Genomic DNA, 12,856 nt, shown 5'->3' with positions numbered 1-12,856 from the left:
GAGGCCGTGGGGAGGTGGCGGCGAAAGGAGGGGGCCGAGCCAGGAGGTCCCGCAGCTTTTCCCCGGCAGCAGGGCTGCCGTCGAATGCCAGCATCCTGGGGCTGGGCGAGCGCGATTCGCTCGTAGGGAGTCCCCTCCCTTCTTCCCCACTGCTCCAGGCTCTGAATCCTACCCAAGAGAGCACGGGAGTTGTGGCCTGGGGGTGCCATCCGTTCAGTGGATGGCAGTGCTCTTGAGTCAACCGTATACCCCTGTCACTGAGGGAGAGCTCCTTCCCGATTCCCCAAGCCCCACCAATGCCCCGCGCAGCTCCCCAGTGGCCTCTGGTTGACTCTCTGGGGAGCTGGATCTCTTCTGGAGATTGGGGCCGCTTAGAGCTTTAGGCACATCCCAGGATGGGAGGCTGTTTCCTCAGGGGGCCGTCCGAAGACGCCCCGAACTGCAGAGCGCTGGTCTCGCCGTCGCGAGGACCGCGGAGTTGCGGGGGAGGGGCGGGATGCGGCTCCCGGAGAGTCTCGGGGAGGGCGGGGCCTCGTGGGCGGGGCCGGCGTGACCTTGGTCACTCTCCCGCCGAGACAGCCTCGGGGGTGGGACTCGCCGTCTCTATGGAGACCGAGAAACAGGGGATAATACGGCGGAGCCGCCTGGGCTGCAGTCCCACCCGGGAGCCGGCAGGGAGCGGAGCTGCGGAGCCGCCTGGTCTCCCGCGTCCATCGGTCCATTCCTGCGTCGTTCTGTCCTTCCGAACGCACACTTCAGGAGCAGCCGCGAGGTAGAAGCCCATAGGAGACCCAGATGCCCGCCACCCCAATCAGTATCCTGCACGATGAGGGTTGGGGGGAGCAGCCTGGAAAGGGTCCCAACCTCCGGCGGTCCCAGCCGAGGAGCCAGCTGAGCGGCCCTGCCCTGGCCCCAAGCATTCCACCTCGCAGCCCCCACCTCCTGGTCCGGCTGATTGATGACTCCAGCTGTCCCAGTGGGAGCGGGACGGGTGGCTCCAGTTCACGGGTGTGGCCACTCCATCCATGGCCTGCAGACCCATGGGGCTGCGGCCTGCAACCCAGCGCCACCTGACCGCGCTGAGATGACCAAGAATCCATCTTTCCACGGACAGGAGTGAGCACTGCACGCAGGATCCGCCCAGTGCTTGGGCCAAGCACCCTGTGGCATCCAAGCTCCCCTGGACGTTACCCTTGGTGAACCAAGTGCGGGTCTTGGGGTCCCTGGTGGGAGGTTGCACCCAGGGAAAGGGAAGGGGAGTGCAGCGTGGACTGGGGTTATGGTCCCTGTAACGTAGGAACCACCGGTGCTCACAGTCCCAGAAACTGCCACTTAGGGATGGGAGTGTGGTCACTGGCGAGGAGTTTTTGGTGGAAGATGGGGCAGCCGGGCAGAGCCCAGGCCGTGGTCACTGGAAGCCCTAGTGTAAAAGGCAGAGCTAGAAGATGGTTGCTGAGACCGAGGGTGTGGTCAGGAGGTGGCAGTGGAGGAGGGGGATGTGGTGGGGAGGTCTCTACGCAGGGGATCTCCGCATAGTACCTGGGAGTCTTATAATGTTAGTGTGTGGATGTGGACTGGGGCCTTCAGTGCAGGCTGAGGGTGTGGCCAGAGGGCTGAGGGTGTGTGGACAAAGGGGTGCTGAGGGTCAGGGCGCCTTGATAAAGGGCTGCGGGTATTGGAGGGGGTGAGTGGCTGAGGCTATGGTCAGGGGTCTCAGGAAGGGATGCAGGTTTGTGGCCAGGGGCCTCAGCCCCAGGGCTGCGGGTGTGGGGATGGAGAAGGCTGCTGTGTAGGCTCAGGGTGTGGCCAGGGGTCTGCAGCGGAGGGCTGTGGGTGTGGGGGGCACTTTAGTGCTGGACTGTGGGTATTACTGGGGTTGGCGCAGGCTTGTTAGTATATATGTGGGGGCTGGTGGCCGAGGGCTGTGGCTGTGGGTGTGAAGATGGAGGATGGAGGGCTGAAGGTATGGCCAGGGGTACAAGGCCCAGGGGGTGGCAGGCCAGGGCTGAGTGCACAGGGTCGCTGGGAATGTGGGCTGGTGTGGCCAAGTTCAGGGCGTGGCCAGGGGAGGTCTGAGGTGTAGACATGATGAAGTGTGTTTCAGCCACAGCCCCACTTGCCAGCACGACTCTTGGGGTTCGTAACTCTACAGCCCCCACGCTACTAGCCCCCAACCTCCTGCTCCCCCAAAACTCCACAGTGGGAGGTTACAGCACCAGTCGGTGGCAAGGGGCCAGGAAGCCACGGTTATGCCCTAGGCGCAGGGAGTGCTGGCGTGCCCCACCCGTGGGCCCCAGCTTCCCAGCCCAGCCCAGCCCCTCAGCACTGGGAGCTTCTCCCTGAGCTGCCCTGACACCATCCTGCCCTTAGCAACATTCTCCAAGCAGCACCACCCTCCCTTAGCAACCGTCTCCAGGCTTCACAAACTGTGGCCAGGCCAGCCCCAAGCTCCCCTCATGTTTTTGTTTAACAGCAAATAGTAACAAGGCCTTGCTGGACCAGCTGCACCCCTGCCCAGGGCATGCACCCGTGCCCAGACTGGCTCTTGCTGGGTCCTCATGACCCTTACAGAGATGCTGTCCTCACTGAATGCCTGCCCGACCAGCAGCCTGGCCTGGCCCCAAGCCAGCTTGGCATGGAGCTTCCAGGGAGGGGGCCTGCTCTGCCACCCTCACTTCCACCCAAGCAAGGCCTTGTGCCAGGGCCAGACAAAGCCAGGGCCCCAGCTGCTGCCCTAACAGTCTTTCTGGACAGTGCCACTCTGTTCCCTGTGGGCATCATTATTTCATCTGCTGAACCCTGCTGAGAGCCAGGGCTGGCATTAGTGACAAGACCGTGCCTCCCGGGGCTCTTCCTTGGGGCTCTGTGGCCCAGGGCGACAGTGACGGGCCCCTCTCCCCAGGCAGCTCCAGCACCAACTCTGTAGCAGAACCTGCCCAGGTCTTGCAGGTTTGAGGTAGAGGCTGGGATGTTCTGGGCTTGGGGGAGGGGAAGGGCAGATTGGCTGGGAGATGACCCAGGTGGGTCTCTATAGGGTGGCATGGCAGCGAGCACAGACATGGCTGGGCTGGAGGAGAGCTTCCGCAAGTTTGCCATCCATGGTGACCCCAAGGCCAGTGGGCAAGAGATGAATGGCAAGAACTGGGCCAAGCTGTGCAAGGACTGCAAGGTGGCTGACGGAAAGTCCGTGACAGGGACCGATGTGGACATCGTCTTCTCCAAAGTCAAGTGAGCCCTAAGCAGCCCCTGCTTCTCATGTTCCCAGGAGGTGGGGAACTGGGGGGCTGGAACCAGGGAGGACATCAAGAAGGGGTCAGGGAAACACCATGATCACGAAGGTCGTTCTTCCAGGGCAAACCTTATATCTATTGCCCTCCAGAGTTGCTGACCCCTGCGACTTCCCCAAACGTGGGAAAGAAACGCAATTGCATAATTTGTGGTGGCAGCAAATGTGTTTGAGCTTTCCCCTGGGGGAGAAAAAAGAAAGGGGAACCCTCATGGTGCCCACATGCCTGTCAGGGGGAAGTCTGCTCGGGTCATCAACTATGAGGAGTTCAAGAAGGCCCTGGAAGAGCTGGCGACCAAGAGATTCAAGGGGAAGAGCAAGGAGGAGGCCTTCGATGCCATCTGCCAGCTGGTGGCAGGCAAAGAGCCAGCCAATGTGGGCGTCACTGTAAGTGCCCTGCTGGTCTCGGGTGGCCACGGAATGGGGTGTGGGGAATCGTGGCTGTGGGTGGGAAGGGCTGGGCTCCCTCATCAGGTGCCCCTGGGGAAACTCTGTCCAAACAGAAAGCAAAAACAGGGGGTGCTGTAGACCGGCTGACGGACACCAGCAGATACACGGGCTCCCACAAGGAGCGCTTCGATGAGAGCGGCAAGGGCAAGGGCATTGCGGGACGGCAGGACATCCTGGACGACAGTGGCTACGTGAGCGCCTACAAGAATGCAGGCACCTACGATGCCAAGGTGAAGAAGTGAGGCTTGGGAAGACCGCCCTGCCAAGTGCGGCTGCCCCTGCCAGAGGCTCAGGCCTGGGTCTAAGGGGCACGTGGAGCAAGAGATCCTGGTCCCCTCCCTGCTGGACCTGCCACCCAGAGCTTCCTGCCTAGTCCCACTGGGCTGGCCCACCAGGCCTCTGACCCAGGCTGCTCTGCGGCCCCTTCCTCCTCCTCTTCCTGCTCCAACTTCTGTCCACCTGGGGACAGTCTGTGCCTGTAGCCTCATGACCCCAACCCAGCCCCAGGCATGGCTAACCCCTGACTGCTTGCCTCATATTTAAGCTGCTGCTCTGGCCAAGTGCCTAATTTTAACCCAGACCTCAATAAAGACACCTTTTGTACCAATATGGCCTGGTTGACGATGATGGGGGAATGACATTCACACTCCAGTGACCCCCTCAGTGTCATCACCCCGCTGCATGCCACACACTGCTAATCACTCCCCTTCCCCTGGCAGCCTTGCCCAGAAAAAGGCACTCATGAGTCCCCTTCTGTTAGCACAGAGCCATTCTGTCTGAGGAGACTCCTGGGGAAGTCCAAAGCCTTTTAGCTGGGCCTGACGGGAGTCCTGACATCAAAGCTTGCCTTCCTGTGACCAGTGCCTTGGGTTTGGAGAGTTGGCCCCCTCTCCACTTTCACAGCAGTAGGAGGGATGAAACAGCCGACTCAGCCTGGGCCAAGCATTGGCAGAGGCCCCAGAGCCAGGCATCAGCTTTCAGTCTGCGAACAGGGGCTACCGAGGCAAGTCATTTTGGGTTCTGGCTCAGAATACAGAAAACGCAGGGCCAGGCAGAACCTTAGAGAGTAGCTCATCCAGGCCGGGCGCGGTGGCTCACGCCTGTAATCCCAGCACTTTGGGAGGCTGAGGCGGGTGGATCATGAGGTCAGGAGTTCAAGACCAGCCTGACCAACATAGTGATACCCCGTCTCGATTAAAAATACAAAAATTGGCTGGGCATGGTGTTGCGTGCCTGTAGTCCCTCCCAGCTACTCAGGAGACTGAGGCAGGAGAATCGCTTGAATCCAGGAGTTGGAGGTTGCTGTGAGCCGAGATCACGCCACTGCACTCCAGTGTGGGCAACAGACACTTTGTCTCAAAAAAAAAAAAAAAAAAAAAAAAAAAAAAAGAGAGTAGCTCATCTGACTCCGTAATTTTATAGCTGAGGAAACATCCAGAGAGGTGGAGGGGCTTCTGCAGACTAGAGGCCAGACCATGCCTCTTGCCTCCCAGGCCAGGCTCTTTCTAGCAAGCCCCAGCATTGACTTCCAAAACTGGGACTGGCTGACTGGTGATAGGGCTTGGCACCCAACACTAGCCTGTGGTGGGAGCAGGGCATCCCTCAGTAAAGGGGCCTCCTCTTTGATGTCCTCCCATCTGTTCCACATCCCTAGTGGGGGAAGGGAGCCTCTCTGGTCCTGAGGATGCCTGGGCGTTTCCAGATCATCTCACTGAGGCTCTGGGTGTTTTGACAGAGCTATTCCCAAGCCAAGGCTTTCGGGCTACCTCTCCTTCCTTCCTTGCTGTGAAAATGGGGCTGGATGGGACTTTAGGGCCTACCCAGGAGAGGGTGGCTCCCAAAGGGGCTAGAAAAGGTATAAAAGGGCCAGTTCCCAAATGCCTGCTTTCCTGACCCAGATCACAAGACAAAGCAGCACCATTGTTTATCCTCTCATCCCACAGTCTATTGGGGGATGCTCCTGCCCAGGTGGCCCCACATCCCTTAAGCCCAGCTTTCCTTGGGGACAGGGGTGTAGCGGAATAGTATGGCTTGAGACAGGGATGTCAGGCGGGAATCGGCAGGCAGCAGGTGGGCACCTGGCCACAGCAGAGCCTTGCCTCACAGCGCGGCTCCTCCTGACCCAGCTGACCGCGTCTCCTTGAGTGGCCCAGGGAAGAGCTTCAGGGACCTTCAGGCAGATCCTCCCACCAGCAAATGTTAAGAGGTAGAATGCAAGGCGTTTAATGAAAAAAAAAAAATGCAGAGGAACAATTCCTCTAGCCCTGGAAAATTCGTTTGAATTGCAAGCTTAAAATGAACATAATAGGAGTGAAACCCAAATCCTCTGGCTTTCACCAGAACAGCCTCACAGGGAAACAAATTTAACTGTGTTCCAAATTGGGCCAGGCTCCCACTATTCCACTGCAGGTGACAGTACCATCCAATGGTAGAGGGCCCAGCGGCTTCTCCATTCCTGTGACTGGCAGTATGGCTTGGAAGAACACAGAGAGAATGGCTGAGCCCCAAAACCCCACGTCATAGGAGTAAAGCCGCCTCTTCTCGAAATGCCGTTATGAAGCCCGAGGGAATTTAAGGCCCACTCAGGGCTGGGAGGACCCTAAGACCAGACGGGTCTAGCAGAATCTGGCACATGACAGCCATTGCCCAGCAATGCCACTGCCCCTCCCCTAACAGCCTCCTTGTGGTTGAAAGCTTTGGATACCCTTGCTAGCAAAATCAGGTTAGACAAAGGAGAGGTTAGGATCAGAGGGACAGAGCCTTTAAAACCTGCTCTGTATGGCTGGGAGAACTCCCAACCTAAGAGTGGCTCTGCCCCTCCCTCTGGACATAGAACCTCCCTGAGGACCAGTCTCCATCCCAGACCTGTCCTGCTTTCTGGTGGTAGTGCCAGGCCTAGGGTGTGGGATTCTGCTCCACGTGTTTTCTGCTTGTTTAAAGGGTCCTCCGCTTTCCATGTTGAGTCCAGTTTGCCCTGAGCTCTTTGGCTCTCTCCTTAACATCGCAACCCCTACCCGTGCCCTGTAGAACAAGTGCCATACAGGGAAAAATCAGAAACAGATGACTTCCCCAGGAGTGGCCAGCAAACCTAGCAGGTGCCTGGCCTGGGGCAGGGTCGGTCACTTTCAATGACAATGGCAAATGGGGTGGAGGGTGGCACACACTGGGCCAGGCTCTTTGTTCCCCTTAGGAGGTGTCCTGAGTGGATTCTGGGGCTAGCACCATCAGGTGTTCATGGAGGAGGCAGGAAGGGCTGGGTTGGAGGAAAGCAGTGCATTATTCCTCCCTGCCCCCTGGTGTGTCCATTAGGTTGGCCTGTGCACTGGGCTGAGACCCTGAAATATAACAACTCAGGGATGCAAGGCCACTGGCTGATGCTCCCCTACCTGGGAGACAAAGACAGGCCCAGGAAAGAGGCAGCGGGGGTGCAGGGAGGCTGCTCTTACTGACATTTCCACAGAGCACAAGCTCGCTCTAGCTCCCTCAGAGCCTTGCAGCTCAAAGAAACTTCTGGCTCCTCTGTACAAGCTGCTTTTGGGAAGCCACTTAAAATCCAGAAGTCTGTGGATTTATAACTTAGAAACTTGTGACTGTCATGTCTTATTAGTATGGTGGTGGCTCTCCTTCCCTGCACAGCATGGAATCAGGGGTACAAGTAAATTATCTAATCCTTCCACCTGTCTCTCTCTCTGATGTGGCCCTGAAGGTGAAGAGAAGAACCATGTGGCATTAGGTTGAAAATCCTTCACTTTCTACACACTCTCTGGCAACATTAGCACGCTGGGAGGCCACTGAAGCAGAAACATACCTAGAACCACTTACATCATCTTTCCCCATTGATTTTTCAAATGCCCAATCAGGATTAAAAGTACAGGGCACCTGCATGTAAACTGGATGCTGAGCCCAAAGCTAACATATTCAGAAGCAGCATATCTAGTCCGGCCTGCCTCTGCCTCTTCTTTGGGCTGCCTAGCTCCGCTTTGGTCCCCCGCTACTTCACACATGATCAACCCATTCTCTTCTTCTCTCCTCCTGCTTCTTCTTCTTTCTTCTTCTTTTTTTTTTTTTTGGAGACAGGGTTTTGCTCTGTTGCCCAGGCTGGAGTGCAGTGGTGCAATCATAGCTCACTGCAGCCTTGAACTCTTGGGCTCAAGTGATCCTCATGCCTCAACCTCCCTAGTAATTGGGCCCACAGGCATGCACCACTGCGCCTTAACTTTTAAAATTTTTTTGTAGAGACGGAGTCTCACTATGTTGCCCAGGCTGGTCTCAAGCAATCCTCCCGCCTCGATCTCCCTAAGTACTGGGATTACAGGTGTGAGCCCCTATGCCTGGTCCTGAGAAAGCTTTTCAAACACAGTCTGTCACTCCTCTGCCTTCCCAATCTAAAATCTTCAAAGAGTGGTGCAACCTTGCTCCTGCTTACCTCCTCTCAGCCCCTCAGCTCCCTGAAGAAACCACGTCCCTTTCCATTTCCCGGCCTTCGCACATGCTGCTGCTCTCTGCAGCTTCTCCCCATTGCTCTTGCCCTCAGCCACATGCTTTGCCTAGTAACCTCTTCATGTCTCCCCCTTCATGAAAGATCACTTGCTCTGGGGACATTCTCATGACATTACACCTCTTCCATGTCCAACACTTCTATCCCTGCCCCACTATCCCCCTGTGGTGTTCCAGACTCTTCTGTGTACTCTTGGCCTGGGAGGCTCTGCATCCCCTCTACCTGCTACCGTTCTTACTCATTCTGCAGCATCCATTCAAACAAGCCTCACTGACACCTCCAATCCTACAGTGGCCATTACTCACTCTTTCTCTCTCTTCAGGGCATCTTTAGGCTTTTGTTTAGATCTATTTAGTACCAATTCGAAGCTTTGGGCCCCATCACATGAGTTTGCTTTTTTCCCTGACTAAATTGTTGGCTGCTCCAGGGCAGACACCAGGTGTTGTCAGCTTTTCACCATGGCGGGAGGTAATCAAACCCTGTTTGATGAATCTGGCGGATGTTCTTTTTTAACTTTCTACCACACAGTTTCAAATGACACAGGGGAAAAATGTCTAGTGTTTTTTTCCCTTTCAACATTTTCAGCCAAATGTCTCTATGCAATGTCTATACAATAGCTGGGACCAAGTGCCAACTATTTCTGTGGGCAGAAGGAAAGAATGACTCAACAGGGGGAGATAAATAGAGATATAAAAAGAAGGACCAATACAATCTAATCAGAATACATTTCTTTCTTAATCTTTGTGAGTACATACCACCATACTGGTGGCAATGGCGGTGAGAGCCTCTGTGGACCAGGGAAGCTGTGGTGTGAGTTCCATGCTAGCTCTATAAGCCAGGCTCTGGGGCAGCATCCAAGACGCTCTGTATTAGATACTGACCAGTCTCATGTGCCACTGGTGAGGAGGAAGACAACGTGCTTTTCCCAAAGGGCGATGATCTCCCCAGATGATGACCCTTCTCAGGAGGCAGGAGCGCTTTCCCGGAATAACCTTTTGGCTCCTTATTCAGCTGCTGCAGCAGATACTCATTAGTTACCACCAGGGATCTGAGGCCCAAGGGAAAAAGGCAGTCATGAAATCATAAAAGCAAGAGAGATACCATGCAGACCCAAAATGTCTCCCAAAGGCAAATGTGAAATGAAGTCACATCTTTAAATAGAAGGAACTGTCCAATTTATGATTGAGTTATTTTAAAAGCAGACTTAAAGTTTCTTCATTACAATTCTGTTTGATTATATTCCAGACTTACTGAAGCAATAATACATTTCCCATTTTATATATAGCTAGCGGTTGTTCTGTTCTTTCAAAAGCACTTTGATGATGAGGTAAGTAGAAGCCTTGGGTCACTGGCACCTGATCAGGCCTCCAATTTCTACCCCAAATCATAACATCTACTTCTAATCTATCCTGCCACTGCAATTCACTAATGGTGCTAGTCATGGCTGCATTGAACTCTGTATTACCATCTAATTTTTTTTTTCGAGATAGAGTTTCACTTTTGTTGCCCAGGCTAGAGTGCAATGGTGGGATCTTGGCTCACTGCAACCTCTGCCTCCTGGATTCAAGCAATTCTCCTGCCTCAGCCTCCCAAGTAGCTGGGATTACAGGTGTGCACCACCACACTCAGCTAATTTTGTATTTTTAGTAGAGACAAGGTTTCACCATGTTGGTCAGGTTGGTCTCAAACTCCTGACCTCAAGTGATCCACCTGTCTCAGCCTCCCAAAGTGTGGATTACAGGCTCGAGCCACTGCACCTGGCCTGTATTACCATCTAATGTTAAAAGCCATCCACACACTGGCAAAAAGAAAAAAATGTATGCACGATACTATTCATTATAGCACTATTTTTAATGGCAAAATATGTTAAACTAAATGTCCATCAATAGAAGACTAATTAAATAAGTGGTATATCATCCACACAACTGAGCACTATGCAGCTAGAAAAAGGAATGAGAACTAACTCTATACACCACTATGAATGCATTTTCAAGATGAAATGTTAAAGCAACACTGAGTCTTCTTATGTAATAATTAGGGAATACAAATATACACCCACACCTACAATAGAAGGATGGTGGGAGGGAAGGAAAGGACAGCAAAGACAGGAAAGGAAGCTGGATTTTTCTGGATTTATCTTATTTCATAGAGTTGACATTGGGACTGTGTAAATGTTTTACATAATTATGAAAACAAGATTAAATCAAAATTATTTTTAAAATTCCCTAAGAATCAAGGGCAAAATAAAACAAATGAACCTGTATGGTTTCAGAAGGATTATTTCTGGTTAATTTAAAAGAGAGTATTTTGACTGTACGTCACTAAAGCAATATATCCTAATGTTTTCAAAGTGTGGTCCCCAGACCAGTAGCAATAGCATCACCCAGAAGCTAATTAGAAATGCAGATGTTCAGTTCCCAACCCAGACCTGCTGACTCAGAAACTGTGGGATGAGGCCCAGCAATCTGCATTTCAACACGTCCTTCGAGTTAATTTGGAGGCATACCCAAGTTTGAGAACTGTATTATGCTATCCTCTTTACTTTTGTAATGTTTGAAATAATTATAATGAAAAGCTTTTCAGACAAATCCAGAATGGTTCTGGGTCTAATCCTCTGAATATAAAGTTAACCAAATGAAAATCAGGAAGTGAAGTAGAAGGCTTGAAGGTTTGGGGATGGAGTGCTTATATTTAAACTGCAGTGAAAGTCCTCGTAAATGTGTATTATCGGCAAGCCAAAATCTCAAGGGCTTCTCTAAATGTAGCCATAGTCTTGAAGTCTCTTCTGATTTTTTTTGCCTTGCCTGTATCCTGGGGTTGCTTTTTTTTTTTTTTTTTTTTTTTTTGAGACGGAGCCTCGCTCTGTTGACAGGCTGGAGAGCAATGGCGCGATCTCGGCTTGCTGCTATCTCCGCCTCCCAAGATCAAGTGATCCTCCTGTCTCAGTCTCCCCAGTAACTGGGACTACAGGCACGCGCCTTAAACTTTAATATGCTTACAAATCACCTGGGGATCTTGCTAAAAGTAGATTTTAATGCAGTAGGTCTGAGGTGAGGCCCCACTTGTTTAGCAAGCTCCCAGCTAATTTTTTTATTTTTAGTAGAGACGGAGTTTCACCACGTTGGCCAGGATGGTCTCGATCTCTTGACCTCGTGATCCACCTGCCTCGGCCTCCCAAAGTGCTGGGATTACAGGCGTGAGCCACCACACCCAGCCGGGGGTGCTGTTCTTTAAGGACTGATGCTGTTGAGCTCCTCTGAAGGAAACAACGCACTTTGAGTTCTTTATCACTCCCTGCCAAGTGCTCTTGATGTCTTTCGTGACCAATAGCAGGCACTTTCCAGAGGAGCCAGATGGCCGACTTTAGGGGTATGTACTGACCTCCCAAAAAAGTTAGCTGACCCAAACAAAGGTCCCATCAGATCCAGTGAGAAGCTAATTATCGAGGTGTTGCAACCCACCAATGCCAACAAAGACGATTAGTCCCTGATGTGTCCTGGGAAGCAGTAATTTTTATAATCCCTGAGCTAACTGGCCAGATACAGGAGGTTTACACACAGAATGGAGTTCACTTGCAAAGTGCATAGATATTAACTTTCCAAGCAAAACAAAGGAGATAAAAGGAGTAAATATCTGCTTCTAGAAGCAAGCTAGATAGACCCTCTCCTACCTCTGACTTTCATGGAGAATGGCAACTGTCTTCTCCAGCTTTTTCAGCTGGGCAAGCTCCTGGTTCAGGCAAGCCACCTGCATGGTCAGCTGTTGGTTTTTGTGCAGAAGATCATCTACAAAGGGCACAGTAGCCAGGGGTGAAAAGGATTCCAAGCTGCTAGTCTTTGAGCAGAATATAAGTATTCAGATGGACATCTTGAGAACTGGGGGCCCCATGGCACCCAACTTCACACTCCATTGCCTTACTTGGAGATAGGAGATATGGTGGCAAGAATACAGGGTTTGGCAACAGATATGAGTTAAAATTCAGCCACTTAATATTGCACGTGGGCCAGGCACGGTGGCTCACGCCTGTAATCCCAGCACTTTGGGAGGCTGAGGCGGGTGGATCACAAGGTCAGGAGTTCAGGACCAGCCTGGCCAAGATGGTGAAACCCCGTCTCTCCTAAAAATACGACAATTAGCTGGGTGTGGTGGTGGGCACCTGTAATTCCAGCTGCTCGAGAGGCTGAGGCAGAGAATCGCTTGAACCCAGGAGATGGGATGGAGGTAGCAGTGAGCACAGATTGTGCCACTGCACTCCAGCCTGGGCAACAGAGTGAGACTCCGTCTCAAAAAAAAAAATATTGCACATGTTGGTTCATTTTTCTGACTTTCATTAGAGCTAATAACCCTGCCCCTTAGCCCTGTTATGAGGATTCAATGAGACACCTACCCTCACTTAGCATAGGCAGTCAATAGATATTGGGTCTCACACCGTATTCTCCATTTTAGTTTGTTTTGTACATCCTTCACTCCCTACGTAGTATGTGAAAACATCTAGAATGGTGTCAGGCACACAGTAATAACTCAATTAATACTTGTAGAAACTGAATTTGTGGCTAAGACACTTATACCTAGCTTCCCCAATATACTACCATTACCTGCAATAATAAGGAGGTAAAAGAAGA

General features: G+C 52.5%; 2 protein-coding genes and 1 pseudogene across 19 annotated transcripts in view; 2 read left to right on the top strand and 1 right to left on the bottom strand.

Moving 5' to 3' along the window:
- Positions 1-653: 653 nt before the first annotated feature.
- On the top strand, positions 654-4,343 carry TPPP3 (tubulin polymerization promoting protein family member 3). Of its 3 annotated transcripts, NM_016140.4 has the most exons (5): positions 654-772; positions 1,115-1,205; positions 3,035-3,228; positions 3,520-3,673; positions 3,790-4,343. In NM_016140.4, exons 3-5 carry the CDS (start codon positions 3,041-3,043, stop codon positions 3,976-3,978), a joined length of 531 nt encoding a protein of 176 aa, NP_057224.2. In that variant the 5' UTR covers positions 654-772; positions 1,115-1,205; positions 3,035-3,040; the 3' UTR covers positions 3,979-4,343. The 3 variants fall into 3 exon arrangements, with proteins under 3 accessions (NP_057224.2, NP_057048.2, XP_024306062.1); NM_015964.4 differs by lacking the exon at positions 1,115-1,205; XM_024450294.2 differs by lacking the exons at positions 654-772; positions 1,115-1,205 and adding an exon at positions 2,780-2,956.
- On the top strand, positions 3,302-3,461 carry RNU1-123P (RNA, U1 small nuclear 123, pseudogene; annotated as a pseudogene).
- A 4,604-nt stretch (positions 4,344-8,947) lies between the features above and the next one.
- The window catches only part of LRRC36 (leucine rich repeat containing 36), a 58,390-nt gene continuing 54,481 nt past the window's right edge, over positions 8,948-12,856 (bottom strand). For 11 of the 16 annotated variants that reach the window (NM_018296.6, XM_005256026.3, XM_017023401.2 and 8 more), the window contains 2 exons: positions 11,905-12,019; positions 8,948-9,282 (listed from right to left, as the gene is read on the bottom strand). In NM_018296.6, coding sequence (NP_060766.5) covers positions 9,063-9,282; positions 11,905-12,019 — 335 coding nt within the window. In that variant the 3' untranslated portion in view covers positions 8,948-9,062. Of the gene's footprint in view, positions 9,283-11,904; positions 12,020-12,621; positions 12,726-12,856 lie in introns of those variants that run through there. The other 5 variants (XM_005256025.3, XM_005256027.3, XM_017023400.3 and 2 more) reach the window with 4 other exon arrangements.

Source organism: Homo sapiens, chromosome 16, assembly GCF_000001405.40.
Source record: "Homo sapiens chromosome 16, GRCh38.p14 Primary Assembly".
NCBI lineage: Eukaryota > Metazoa > Chordata > Mammalia > Primates > Hominidae > Homo > Homo sapiens.
Note: the sequence above shows the minus strand (reverse complement) of the source record. Positions and strands in the feature narration are given on the sequence as shown.

What these genes read in the sequence shown, in the direction of transcription:
- TPPP3 (NM_015964.4), top strand. Translation starts at nt 3,041, where the DNA reads ATGGCAGCGAGCACAGACATGGCTGGGCTGGAGGAGAGCTTCCGCAAG. An exon ending in ATCGTCTTCTCCAAAGTCAA is followed by an intron (nt 3,229 to 3,519) that starts GTGAGCCCTAAG and finishes CATGCCTGTCAG; the next exon opens with GGGGAAGTCTGCTCGGGTCA. An exon ending in CAGCCAATGTGGGCGTCACT is followed by an intron (nt 3,674 to 3,789) that starts GTAAGTGCCCTG and finishes CTGTCCAAACAG; the next exon opens with AAAGCAAAAACAGGGGGTGC.